At 38.9% G+C, this 14,265-nt stretch overlaps 1 pseudogene; it reads left to right on the forward strand.

The window, feature by feature from the left end:
* Nucleotides 9,810-11,282, forward strand: HSPA8P9 (heat shock protein family A (Hsp70) member 8 pseudogene 9; annotated as a pseudogene).

The following is a 14,265-nucleotide window of genomic DNA, read 5'->3' on the forward strand; positions in this document are numbered from 1 at the left end:
ATATCCAAATACAAGATGGTTATAGAATGCCAAGCAGATTTAACCCAAAGAAGACTACCTCAAGACATTTAATAATCAAACTTTACCCAAAGGTAAAGGATCTTAAAAAGCAGCAAGAGAGAAGAAAGAAATAACATACAATGGAGCTCCAATACATCTGGCAGTAAACTTTTCAGTGGAAAACTTACAGGCCAGGAGTGAGTGGCATGACATATTTAAAGTGCTGAAGGAAAAAGGCTTTTACCCTGGAATAGTATATCTAGCAAATATATCCTTCAAACATGAAGGATAAAGACTTTTCCAGGCAAATGAAAGCTGAGGAATTTTATGAACACCAGACCTGTCCTACAAGAAAGCTAAACAGAGTACTTCAATCAGAAAGAAAAGGACATTAATGAGCAATAAGTAGTCACCTAAAGGTACAAAACTCACTGGTAATAGTAAGTACACAGAGAAAAAATTATAACACTTTAACTATGGTGTGTAAACTACTCTTATCTTAAGTAGAAAGACTAAATGATGAACCAATCAAAAATAATTATTGCAACTTTTCCAGATATACTCAGTACAAAAATATATAAATAGAAAAAACCAAAAAGTTAAAAAGTGGGGGATAAAGGCTTAGAGTTTTTATTAGTTTTCTTTTTGCTCATTTGTTTGTTTATGTAAAAGTGTTAAATTGTTATCAGTTTGAAATAATGGGTTATAAGATAGTATTTGTAAGCATCATGGCAACCTCAATCCAAAAAACAGGCAATGGAGACATACAAAAAAAGCAAGAAACAAAATCATACCACCAGAGAAAAATTATCTTCACTAAAGGAAGTCAGAAGAAGAAAGGAAGAGAAGACCAGAAAACAACCAGAACATAAATAGCAAAATGACAGGAGTAAGTCCTTACTTACCAACAATAACATTGAATATAAATGTCTCCAATCAAAAGACATAGAGTGGTTGAATGGATGAAAAAGCAAAACCCATTGATCTGTTGCCTACAAGAAACACACTTCACCTATAAAGATACACATAGAATGAAAATAAAGGGATTAAAAAAGATATGCAAATGAAACAAGAAAGAGCAAGAGTACCTATATCATGAAAAGTTTCTTTAAAACTGTTGATATGGCTTGGCTCTGCATTCCCAAACAAATCTTATGTCAAATTGTAATCCCCACATGTCAGGGGAGGGATCTTGTGGGAGGTGATTGGATCATGGTGGCATATTTCCCCCTTGATGTTCTCATATATCAGACAAAATATATTTCAAGACAAAAACTATAAGAAGAGACAAAGAAGGTCACTATACAATAATAAAGGAGTCAATTCAGCAAGAGGATATAACAGTTTAAAATATATATGCATCTAAGGACCCAGAAGGACCCAGAAATATGAAGCAAATATTATTAGAGTTAAAGAGAGAGATAGGTCCCAATAGAATAATAGTTGGAGACTTCAACACCCCACTTTCAGTATTAGACACATCTTCCAGACATAAAACCAACAAAGAAACATCCACCTTAATCTGCACTATAAACCAAATGGATTTCATAGATATTTACAGAACATTTTATCCAAGAGCTATAGAATACACATAATTTTCCTCAGCACATCAATCATTCTCAAAGATAGACCATATGTTAGATCACAAAATAAATCTTGAAACATTAAAAAAAAATTGAAATCATATCAAGCATCTTCTCTGACCACAGTGGAATAAAACTAGAAATTAATGCTCTCCCTCTCCCTCTCCCTCTCCCTCTCCCCTTTCCACGGTCTCCCTCTGATGCTGTGCCGAAGCTAGACTGTACTGCCGCCAGCTCTGCTCACTGCAACCTCCCTGCCTGATTCTCCTGCCTCAACCTGCCGAGTGCCTGCGATTGCAGGCATGCGCCGCCACGCCTGACTGGTTTTCGTATTTTTTTGGTGGAGATGGGGTTTCGCTGTATTGGCCGGGCTGGTCTCCAGCTCCTAACCAGGAGTGATCTGCCAGCCTCGGCCTCCCGAGGTGCTGGGATTGCAGATGGAGTCTCATTCACTCAGTGCTCAATGTTGCCCAGGCTGGAGTGCAGTGGCGTGATCTCGGCTCACTACAACCTCCACCTCCGAGCCACCTGCCTTGGCCTCCCAAAGTGCCGAGATTGCAGCCTCTGCCCAGCCGCCACCCTGTCTGGGAAGTGAGGAGCGTCTCTGCCTGGCCGCCCATCGTCTGGGTTGTGAGGAGCCCCTCTGCCCGGCTGCCCAGTCTGGGAAGTGAGGAGTGCCTCTTCCTGGCCGCCATCCCATCTAGGAAGTGAGGAGCGTCTCTGCCCGGCCGCCCCGTCTGAGAAGTGAGGAGCCCCTCTGCCCGGCAGCCACCCCGTCTGAGAAGTGAGGAGCCCCTCTGCCTGGCAGCCGCCCCATCTGGGAAGTGAGGAGCGTCTCTGCCTGGCAGCCGCCCCGTCCGGGAGGTGGGGGGGCAGCCCCCGCCCGGCCAGCTGACCCGTCCGGGAGGGAGGTGGGGGGCAGCCCCCGGCCGGCCAGCCACCCCGTCCGGGAGGTGGGGGGTGCCTCTGCCCGGCTGCCCCTTCTGGGAAGTGAGGAGCCCCTCTGCCTGGCTGCCACCCCGTCTGGGAGGTGTACCCAACAGCTCATTGAGAATGGGCCATGATGACGATGGCGGTTTTGTCAAATAGAAAAGGGGGAAATGTGGGGAAAAGATAGAGAAATCAGATTGTTGCTGTGTCTGTGTAGAAAGAAGTAGACATAGGAGACTCCATTTTGTTCTGTACTAAGAAAAATTCTGCCTTGGGATCCTGTTGATTTATGACCTTACCCCCAACCCGGTGCTCTCTGAAACATGTGCTGTGTCCACTCAGGGTTAAATGGATTAAGGGTGGTGCAAGATGTGCTTTGTTAAACAGATGCTTGAAGGCAACATGCTCATTAAGAGTCATCACCACTCCCTAATCTCAAGTACCCAGGGACACAAACACTGCAGAAGGCCCCAAGGTCCTCTGCTTAGGAAAACCAGAGACCTTTGTTCATTTGTTTATCTGCTGACCTTCCTTCCACTATTGTCCTATGACCCGGCCAAATCCCCCTCTGCGAGAAACACCCAAGAATGATCAATAAATAAAATTAAAAAATAAAAATTAAACAAAAAAACTAGAAATTAATGACAAGAGGAATTTTGGAAATTATACAAATACATAGAAATTAAACATTGTGCTCCTGAATGACCAGTGTGTCAATAAATAAATTAAGAATGAAATTTTAAAATTTCTTGAAACAAATGATAATAGAAACACAACTTACCAAAACCTGTGGGATATAGCAAATACAGTACTAAGATGGAATTTTATATCAATAGTGATAAGTGCCTACATCAAAAAAGAGGGAAAACTTCAAATGAAAAATCCAACAATGCATCTTAAAAGAACTAGAAAAGTAAGGGCAAATCCAACCCAAAAATAGTAGAAGAAAAGAAATAATAAATATCTGAGCAGAAATAAATACAATTTATATAAAGAAATCTAAAATATCAATTAAAAATTTTTATATAACTTAAGAAAAATTGACAAACTTTTTGCCAGACTAAGAAAAAAAGAGAGAGGATCTAAATTCATAAAATCAGAAATGAGAAAGAAGACATTACAACTAATACTGCAAAAAATCAAAGGATTATTAGTGGCTACTATGAGCAATTAAATGCCAATAAATTGGAAAATCAAGAAGAAATACACAAATTCCTAGACTCATACAGCCTACCAAGGTGGAATTTGGAAGAAATCCAAAACCCAAACAGACCAATGAAAGTAATGAGATCAAAGCCATAATAAAAAGTCTCCCAGTAAAGAAAAGCCCAGGACCTGATGGCTTCACTGTTGAATTCTACCAAACATTTAAAGAACTAATACCAATCCTGCTCAAACTGTTCCATAAAATAGAGGAGGAAATACTTCAAAACTCATTACATGAGGCCCATATTGCCCTGATACCAAAACCAGACAAAGACACATCAAAAAAAGGTAAACTTCAGGCCAATATCTCTGAATATTGATGCAAAAATCCTCAACAAAATACTAGCAAATTGAGTTCAACAATATATTAGAAAGATCATTCATCATAACAAAGTGGGATTTATCCCTGGGATGCAGGGATGGTTCAACATATGGAAATCAGTGTGCTACATTATATCAACAGAATGAAGTATCAAAACCATATGATCATTTCAATTGATGTTGAAATGCATTTGATAAAATTCAACATCTTTTCATATAAAAATCCCAAGAAAAAATTGGGGATAGAAGGAACATACCTCAACATAATAAAAGCCATATACAACAGACTCACACTAGAATCACACCAAATGGGGAAAAACTGAAAACGTTTCTTCTAAGATCTGGAACATGACAAGGATGCCCATTATCATCACCATTATTCAACATAGTACTGGAAGCCCTAACTAGAGTAATCAGATAAGGGAAAGATATAAAGGGCACCCAAACTGGAAAGAAAGAAGTCAAATTACCCTTGTCTGCAGATGATATAATCTTATATTTGGAAAAATATAAACACTTTGCAAGAAAACTATTAGAACTGATAAATTCAGTAAAGTTGAGGGATAAAAAGTCAACATAAAAAATCAGTAGCATTTCTATATGCCTACAGTGAACAATGTTAAAAAGAAATTTAAAAAGTAATCCCATTTACAATAGCCACAGATAAAACTGCATACCTAGGAATTGACTTAATCAAAGAAGTGAAAGGTCTCTATAATAAAAACTATAAAATACTGATGAAAGAAATTGAAGAGGACACCAACAAGTGGAAAGATATTCCATGTTCATGCATTGGAAGAATCAATATTGTTAAAATGTTCATGCTACCCAAAGCAATCTACAGATTCAATGCAATCCCTATCAAAATACCAATGACATTCTTCACAGAAATAGAAAAAAATTCCTAGAATATATATGAAACCACAAAAGACCCAGAATACCCAAAGCTATCCTAAGCAAAAAGAACAAAACTGGAGGAATCATATTACCTGACTTCAAATTGTACTACAGAGCTGTAGTAACCAAAACAACATGGTACTGACACAAAAACAGACACGTAGGCCAATGGAACAGAATAGAGAACCCAGAAACAAATCCACACACCTACAGTGAACTCATTTTCAGCAAAGGTGCCAAGAACACACACTGGAGAAAAGACGGTCTCTTCAATAAATTGTGCTGGGAAAACTGGATATCCATATGCAGAAGAATGAAACTCAACCCCTATCTTTCACCATATACAAAAACCAAATCAAAATGGATTAAAGGCTTACATCTGAGACCTCAAACTATGAAACTACTACAATAAAACATTTGGGAAATCTCCAGGACATTGGTCTGGGCAAAAAAATTTTGACTAATACCCCACAAGCACTGGCAACCAAAGCAAAACTGGACAAATGGGATCATACCAAGTTAAAAAGCTTCTGTACAGCAAAAAATACAGTCAATAAAGTGAAGAGACAACCTACAGAATGGGAGAAAGTATTTACAAGCTACCTATCTGACAAGAGATTAATAACCAGAATATATAAGGAGCTCAAACAACTTTATAGGAAAAAATCTAATAATCTGACTAAAAAATGGACAAAAGGTTTGAATAGACATTTCTCAAAAGAAGATATACAAATGGCAAACAGGCATATGAAAAGGTACTCAACATGATTGATCATCAGAGAAATGCAAATCAAAACTACAATAAGATATCATCTCACCCCAGTTAAAATGTCTTATATCCAAAAGACAGGCAATAACAGATGCTGGTGGGGATGTGGAGAAAAGAGAATGCTTGTATGTTGGTGGGAATGTAAATTAGTAAAATCACTATAGAGAACAGTTTGGAGGTTCCTCATTAAACTGAAAATTGAGCTACCATGTGATCCAACAATCCCACTGCTGTGTGTATATCCAAAAGGAGGGAAATCAGTGTATCAAGACATATCTGCACTACTATTTTTGTTGCAGGATTGTTTACAATATCTAAGATTGGGAGCAACCTGACTGTCCATCAACAGAAAAATGGAAAAAGAAAATGTGGCACACATACACAATGGAGTACTATTCAGCCATAAAAAAAATAGATCCAGTCATTTGCAATGACATGGATGGAACTGGAGATCATTATTTTAAGTAAAATAAGCTAGGCACAAAAAGACAGACATTGCATGTTTTTACTTTTTTATGGGATCTAAAACTCAAAACAGCTGAACTCATGGACACAGAGAGTACAAGGATTGTTACCAGAGGCTGGGAAAGGTAATGGGTGGCTTGGGGAGAGATGGGGATGGTTAATGGGTACAAAAAAGTAGGAAGAATGAATAAGACCTATGATTTGATAGCACAACTGAATGTCTATAGTCAATAAAAACAATATACATTTTAAATTAACTCAAAGAGTGTAATTGGATTGTTTGTAACTCAAAGGATAAATGCTTGATGAGATGGATATCCCATTCTCCATGATGTGTTTATTTCATGTTGCATGCCTGTATCAAAACATCTCATGTATCCCATAAATATAAATACCTACTATGTACTCACAAAAATTTAAAAATAAAATAACAAACCCATGTTTAAGTATTCATATATAAATGACATGAAATTCAGGGGGATAAAGAAAATACATGGTTGATATGGTTTGGCTGTGTCCCTGCTCAAATCTCACCTTGAATTCCCATGTGTTATGGGAGGGACACAGTGGGAGGTAATTGAATCATGGGGGCAGGTCTTTCCCGTGCTGTTCTTGTGATAGTGAATAAGTCTCATGAGATCTGATGGTTTTAAAAGGAGGAGTTCCCTTGCACAAGCTCTCTCTCTTTGCCTGTTGCCATCCATGTAAGACATGACTTGCTCCTCCTTGTCTTCTGCCATGATTGTGAGGCCTCCCCAGCCACATGGAACTGTACAGCAATTAAACCTCTTTTTCTTCCCAGTCTCAGGTATGTCTTTATCAGCAGCATGAAAAAAACTAATACAGTAAATTGGTACCAGTAGAGAGGGACACTGCTGAAAAGATATCTGAAATGTGGAAGTAACTTTGAAACTGGGTAACGGGCAGAGGTTGGAACAGTTTGGAGGGCTCAGAAGAAGACAGGAAAATGTGGGAAAGTTTGGAACTCCCTAGAGACTTAATGAATGGCTTTGACCAAAATGCTGATAATGATATGGACAATGAAATCCAGGTTGAGGTGGTCTCAGATGGAGATGAGGAACTTGTTTGGAACTGGAGCAAAGGTGACTCTTGTTATGTTTTAGCAAAGAGACTGGTGGCATTTTGCCCCAGCCCTAGAGATTTGTGGAACTTTGAACTTGAGAGAGATGATTTAGGGTATCTGGCAGAAGAAATTTCTAAACAGCAAAGCATTGAAGAGATTACCTGGGTGCTGTTAAAGGCATTCAGTTTTAAAAGGGAAACAGAGCATAAAAGTTCAGAAAATTTTCAGCTTAACAATGCAATAGGAAAAAACAATCCCATTTTCTGAGGAGAATTTCAAGCTGCCTGCAGATATTTCCATAAATAATGAGGAGCTGAATGTTAATCACCAAGACACTGGGGAAAATGTCTCCAGGGCATGTCAGAGACCTTTATGACAGTCCCTCCCATCACAGGCCCAGAGACATAGGAGGAAAAAATGGCTCTGTGGGCTAGGCCCAGGGTCTCTCTGTTGTGTGCAGCCTAGGAACTTGGTGCCTTGCGTCCCAGCCACTTCAGCTGCAACTAAAAGGGGCCAAGGTACAGCTCAAGCCATGGCTTCAGAGGGTGCAAGCTCCAAGTCTTGGCAGTTTCCACATGGTGTTGAGCCTGCAGGTGCATAGAAGTCAAAAATTAAGGTTTGGGAACCTCTGCCTAGGTTTCAGAGGATGTATGGAAATGCCTGGATGTTCAGGCAGAAGTTTGCTGCAGGGGTGGGACACTCATGGAGAACCTCTGCTAGGGCAGTGCAAAAAGGAAATGTGGGGTGCAAGCCTCCACACAGAATCCCCACTGAGGTGCTGCCTAGTGGAGCTGTGAGAAGAGGGCCACCATCCTCCAGACACCAGAATGGTAGATCCACTGACAGCTTGCACTGTGAGCCTGAAAAAGCCACAGACACTCAACACTAGCCCATGAAAGCAGCCAGGAAGGAGGCTGTACCCTACAAAGCCACAGGGGCAGAGCTACCGAAGACCATGGGAACCCACCTCTTTCATCAGTGTGACCCAGATCCAAAACGAATAAATGAATTCAGTAAAGTTTCAAGACACAGAATCAACCTACAAAAATCAGTAGTAGTTCTATATGCCAATAGCACACTATCTAAAAAAGAATCAAGAAAGAAGTTCTATTTATAATAGCTACCAAAAAAAAAACACTAGGAATAAGCTTAACCAAGGAAGTGAAAGATATCTACTATAAAAACTATAAAACATTGATGAAAGAAATTCAAGATAGCACAAATAAATTGAAAGTTATCTGTGTTCATGGATTGGAAGAATCAATATTGTTAAAATGTCCATACTACCCATGATGTTGTATAGATTCAACACACTTCCTATCAAAATATTAATGACATTCTTCATAGAAATATAAGAACAATCCTAAAATTCGTATGGAACCACTAAAGACATCAAATAGACAAAGCAATCCTGAGCAAAAAGCATAAAGCTGGAGACAACACACTGACTTCAAAATACACAAAAAAGCCATAATAATGCAATCAGCATGGTACTGGCATAAAAACAGACACATAGACCAATGGAGCAGAAAGAAATCCAGAAATAAATCCACACATTTACAGTCAATTAATTGTCAACAAAGGTGTCAAGAACACCCATGGGGAATAGGACAGTCTCTTCAATAAATGGTGCTGGGAAAACTGAATATTCACATGTGGAAAAATGAAAGACCTCTATCTTTCACCATATTAAAAAAAACTCAAAATGGATTAAAGACTGAAATGTAAGACCCAAAACTATAAACTACTAGAAGAAAACACTGGGGAAACACTTCATGAAATTGGTCTGGGCAAGAATTTTTTGGACAGGACCTCAGAAGCACAGGCAACAAAAGCAAAATAGACAAATGGGACAAACCAAAAACCTTCTGCATAGCAAAGGAAACAATCAACAGAGTGAAGAGACAATCTTAAGAATGGGAAAAAATATTCACAAACTTTCCATCTGACAAGGGATTAATATTTAGTATACACAAGGAATTCAAACAACTCAATGCCAAAAAAACCCCACAAAAAATCAGATTTTAAAATAAGCAAAAGACCTGAATAGACATTTCTCAAAATAAGACATACAAATCACCAGGTAAATGACAAAATGCTCAACATCACTAATCATCAGGGAAATGCAAATCAAAATCACAATGAGATACCACCTCACCTCAATTAGAATGGCTGTTATCTAAAAGATGAAAAGTAAAACATGCTGACAAGGATGCAGAGAAAAGGGAACTCATCTTTTTAAACACTTTTTTTTTTTTTAAAGATAATGTCTCACCGTATTGCCCAGGTTGGCCTCAAAGTCCTGGGCTCAAACTATCCTCCTGCCTCAGCCTCCTGAGTATCTGAGACTACAGGCCCACACCACTGTACCCAGCTGCTAGAAAGGAAAATTCTTACACACTATTGGTGGAAATGTAAATTAGTACAACTATTATGGAAAATGGTGTAAAGGTTTCTCAAAAAATTTAAAAAGAATTACCATATGATCCAGCAATTTCACTACTGAGTATTTATCCACAGGAATTGAAATCAGTATGTCAAAGAGAAACCTGCAATTGAACTCGCCTGCAGCTCTCGGGGTTCCTGTGGCTTTCTTCTTTGTTGGAGCCAGGCCTACATGCCAGCAACCATGTCGAAGGGACCTGCAGTTGGTATTGATCTTGGCACCACCTACTCTTGTGTGGGTGTTTTCCAGCACGGAAAAGTAGAGATAATTGCCAATGATCAGGGAAACGGAACCACTCCAACCTATGTCACCTTTACGGACACTGAATGATTGACCCGTCATGCCACAAAGAATCAAGTTGCAATGAACCCCACCAACACGCCAAACGTTTTTGATGCCAAATGTCTGATTGGATGCAGATTTGATGACGCTGTTGTCCAGTCTGATATGAAGCATTGGCCCTTCATGGTGGTGAATGATGCTGTCAGGCTCAAGGTCCAAGTAGAATACAAGGGAGAGACAAAAAGCTTCTATCCAGAGGAGGTACCCTCTATGGTTCTGACAAAGATGAAGGAAATTGCAGAAGCCGACCTTGGGAAGATTGTTACCAATGCTGTGGTCACAGTGTCAGCTTACTTTAATGACTGTCAGTGTCAGGCTACCAAAGATGCTGGAACTATTGCTGGTCTCAATGTACTTAGAATTATTAATGAGCCAACTGCAGCTGCTATTGCTTATGGCTTAGACAAAAAGGTTGGAGCAGAAAGAAATGTGCTGATCTTTGACCTGGGAGATGACACTTTCAATGTGTCAATCCTCACTACTGAGGATGGAATCTTTGAGGTCAAATCTAGAGCCGGAGACACCCACTTGTGTGGAGAAGATTTTGACTACCGAATGGTCAACCATTTTTACTGCTGAGTTCAAGCACAAGCATAAGAAAGGCATCAATGAGAACAAGAGAGTTTTAAGATGCCTCCATACTGCTTGTGAATGAGCTAAGTGTACTCTCTCTTCCAGCACCCTGGCCAGTATTGAGATCGATTCTCTTTATGAAGGAATCAACTTCTACACCTCCATTACCCATGCCCGATTTGAAGAAAAGAATGCTGACCTGTTCCATGGCACCCTGGACCCCATAGAGAAAGCCCTTCGAGATGCCAAACTAGAGAAGTCACAGATTCATGACATTGTCCTGATTGGTGGTTCTACTCATATCCCTGATTCAGAAACTTCTCCAAGACCTCTTCAATAGAAAAGAACTGAATAAGAGCATCAACCCTGATGAAGCCATCGCTTATGGTGCAGCTGTCCAGGCAGCCATCCTGTCTGGAGACAAGTCTGAAAATGTTCAAGATTTGCTGCTCTTGGATGTCACTCTTCTTTCCCTTCGTATTGAAGCTGCTGATGGAGTCATGACCGTCCTCATCAAGCGCAATACTACCATTCCTACCAAGCAGACACAGAACTTCACTACCTATTCTGACAACCAGCCTGGTGTGCTTATTCAGGTTTATGAAGGTGAGTGTGCCATGACCAAGGATAACAACTGTTTGGCAAGTTTGAACTCACAGGCATACCTCCTGCACCCTGAGGTGTTCCTCAGGTTGAAGTCACTTTTGACATTGATGCCAATGTCATCCTCAATGTCTCTGCTGTGGACAAGAGTACAGGAAAAGAGAACAAGATTACTATCACTAATGACAAGCGCCGTTTGAGCAAGGAAGACATTGAACGTATGGCCCAGGAAGCTGAGAAGTACAAAGCTGAAGATGAGAAGCAGAGGGGCAAAGTGTCATCCTAGAATTCACTTGAGTCCTATGCATTCAACATGAAATCAACTGTTGAAGATGAGAAACTTCAGGGCAAGATTAACGATGATGACAAACAGAAGATTCTGGACAAGTGTAATGAAATTATCAACTGGCTCGATAAGAATCAAGCTGCTGAGAAGGAAGAATTTGAACATCAGCAGAAAGCTGGAGAAAGTCTGCAACCCCATCAACACCAAGCTGTACCAGAGTGCAGGAGGCATGCCAGGAGGAATGCCTGGGGGATTCCCTGGTGGTGGAGCTCCTCGCTTTGGTGGTGCTTCCTCAGGGCCTACTATTGAAGAGGCTGATTAAGCCAACCCAAGTATAGACGTAACATTGTTCCACACATTTAAAACATTGAAGGACCAAAATTTGTAGCAAATTCTGTGGCAGTTAAGTTCAGCTGCTATAGTAAGTTACTGGGCATTCTCAATACTTGAATATGGAACATACGCACAGGTGAAGGAAATAAAATTGCACTTTATAAACACTGTATTTTAAGTGGAAAATGCAATGTCTTAAATAAAACTATTTAAAATTGACACCATTAAAAAAAAAAAAACAAAGAGAAACCTGCATTCTCATGTTTACTACAGCAGTATTCACAATAGCCAAGAGATGGACTCAATCTATATGTTTATCTATAGAAAAATGGCTAAAGAAAATGTGGTATATATACACAATTGAGTACTATTCAACTATAAAAAGGGAATGAAATCCTATTATTCACAGAAACACAGATGAACTTCGAGGACAATTTGCTAAATGAATCTAAGACACAGAAGACAAATGCTGCACGATCTCACTCATCCACAGAATCTACAAAAGTTAATCTCATAGAAGCAGAGAGTAGAATAGTGGTCACCAGAGGATGGAAAAGGGGGAATGAGGGAACAGGGAGAGGTTGGTCAATGAGTATAAAGTTACAATTAGATAGAAGGAATAAGTTCTAGTGTTTTATTACGTAGTAGGTTGACTACAGATCATAACAATGTATTATATATTTCAAGGTAGCTAGAAAAGAAGATTTTACCTGTTCTCACCACAAGTAAATGAATAAATGTTTGAGATGATAGATATGCTAATTACCCTGATTTGATCGTTACACAATGTGTACATATATTGAAACATCACACTGTATCTCATATATTTGTATAATTATGATGTGTCAATTAAAACTTTTTTTAACTGTCAAAAAAAAAAAAAGATTTAGCTTCTCACTCAGCCTCCTCTTACACCAATTTGGAGGAAAGGGAAAGGGATATCTTGTTACTACTGGGTGGCAATGTAAAGTCAGAATTTCCGCCTGTCCTCCACTGACATCATAGACTGAGAAACAAATAGCTTTATGCTATTGATTTCCAATTCAATTTCATTTCTGTAAGAGAATTTATTATGTATGATGTCAACCTTTTTAAATTTTATTGTGAGTGGTTCTATAGCCTAGCATATGGTCTCTCCTATTGCATGTTCAATGTTAACTTATAAGGAATCAGTATTCTGCTGCTGTTGAGTGTTTTATAAATGTTAATTGGTTGAAGTGTCATTCAGGTATTCTATATTCTTACTTATTTTCTGTCTACATCTATCTGTTCTATCAATTGCTGATAGAGGGAGTCTCAAGCTTTGTGATTTGTCTATTTCTTTTATATATTTGCTTTATATATTTTGAACTTCTCCTATTGTGTGTACACATGTGTAGGATAATTACTTTTTTTCAGCAAATTGACCCTTGTTAATATGAAATGGTCCTCTTTATCTCTGGTAATAGTATTTGTTTGAAATCTATTTTGTTTGATACTAATAGAATCACTTCAGCTTTCTTACAATTAGTTTTTGCATAGTATATGTTTTTATCCTTTTACTGTTATCTGGGTCATTATATTTAAAGTAGATTTCTTATAGGCAGCATATATATTTGTCTTGTTTTTTTTGTCCAATGTGACAATCTTTGTGTTTTAATTCAAGTCTTTAGATTATTTACAGTTAATGAAGTTTTCAATAAATCATTTGGTTTAATTTACCATCTTGCTATTTTCTTTCCTTTCTATCTCTTCTCCTTTTTTCTTTTTTTTTTAATTATACTTTAAGTAGTGAGGTACTTGTGAAAAACATCCAGTTTTGTTACATAAGTATACACACGCCATGGTGGTTTGCTACACCCATCAACCCATCACCTACACTAGATATTTCTCCTAATGCTATCCCTCCACTAGCCCCCCACCACTGACAGGCCCCAGTGTGTGATATTCCCCTCCCTGTGTCCATGTGTTCTCCTTGTTCAACTCCCACTTATGAGTGAGAACATGTGGTGTTGGGTTTTCTTTTCTGTGATAGTTTGCTGAGAATGATGGTTTCCAGCTTCATCCATGTCCCTGCAAACGACATGAACTCATCCTTTTTTATGACGGCATAGTATTCCATGGTGTATGTGTGCCACATTTTCTTTATCCAATCTATTATTGATGGACATTTGGGTTGGTTCCAAGTCTTTGCTATTGTAAATAGTGCCGTAATCAACATATGTGTGCATGTGTCTTTATAATAGAATGATTTATAATCCTTTGGGTGTATACCCAGTAATGAGATTGCTGAGTCAAATGTTATCTCTGGTTCTAGATCCTTGAGGAATCGCCACACTGTCTTCCACAGTGGTTGAACTAATTTACACTCCCACCAACAGTGTAAAAGTATTTCTATTTCTCCACATCCTCTCTAACATCTGTTGTTTCCTGACTTTTTAATGATCA

The sequence above is a fragment of the Homo sapiens genome, chromosome 3, assembly GCF_000001405.40.
Source record: "Homo sapiens chromosome 3, GRCh38.p14 Primary Assembly".
Taxonomy (NCBI): Eukaryota; Metazoa; Chordata; class Mammalia; order Primates; family Hominidae; genus Homo; species Homo sapiens.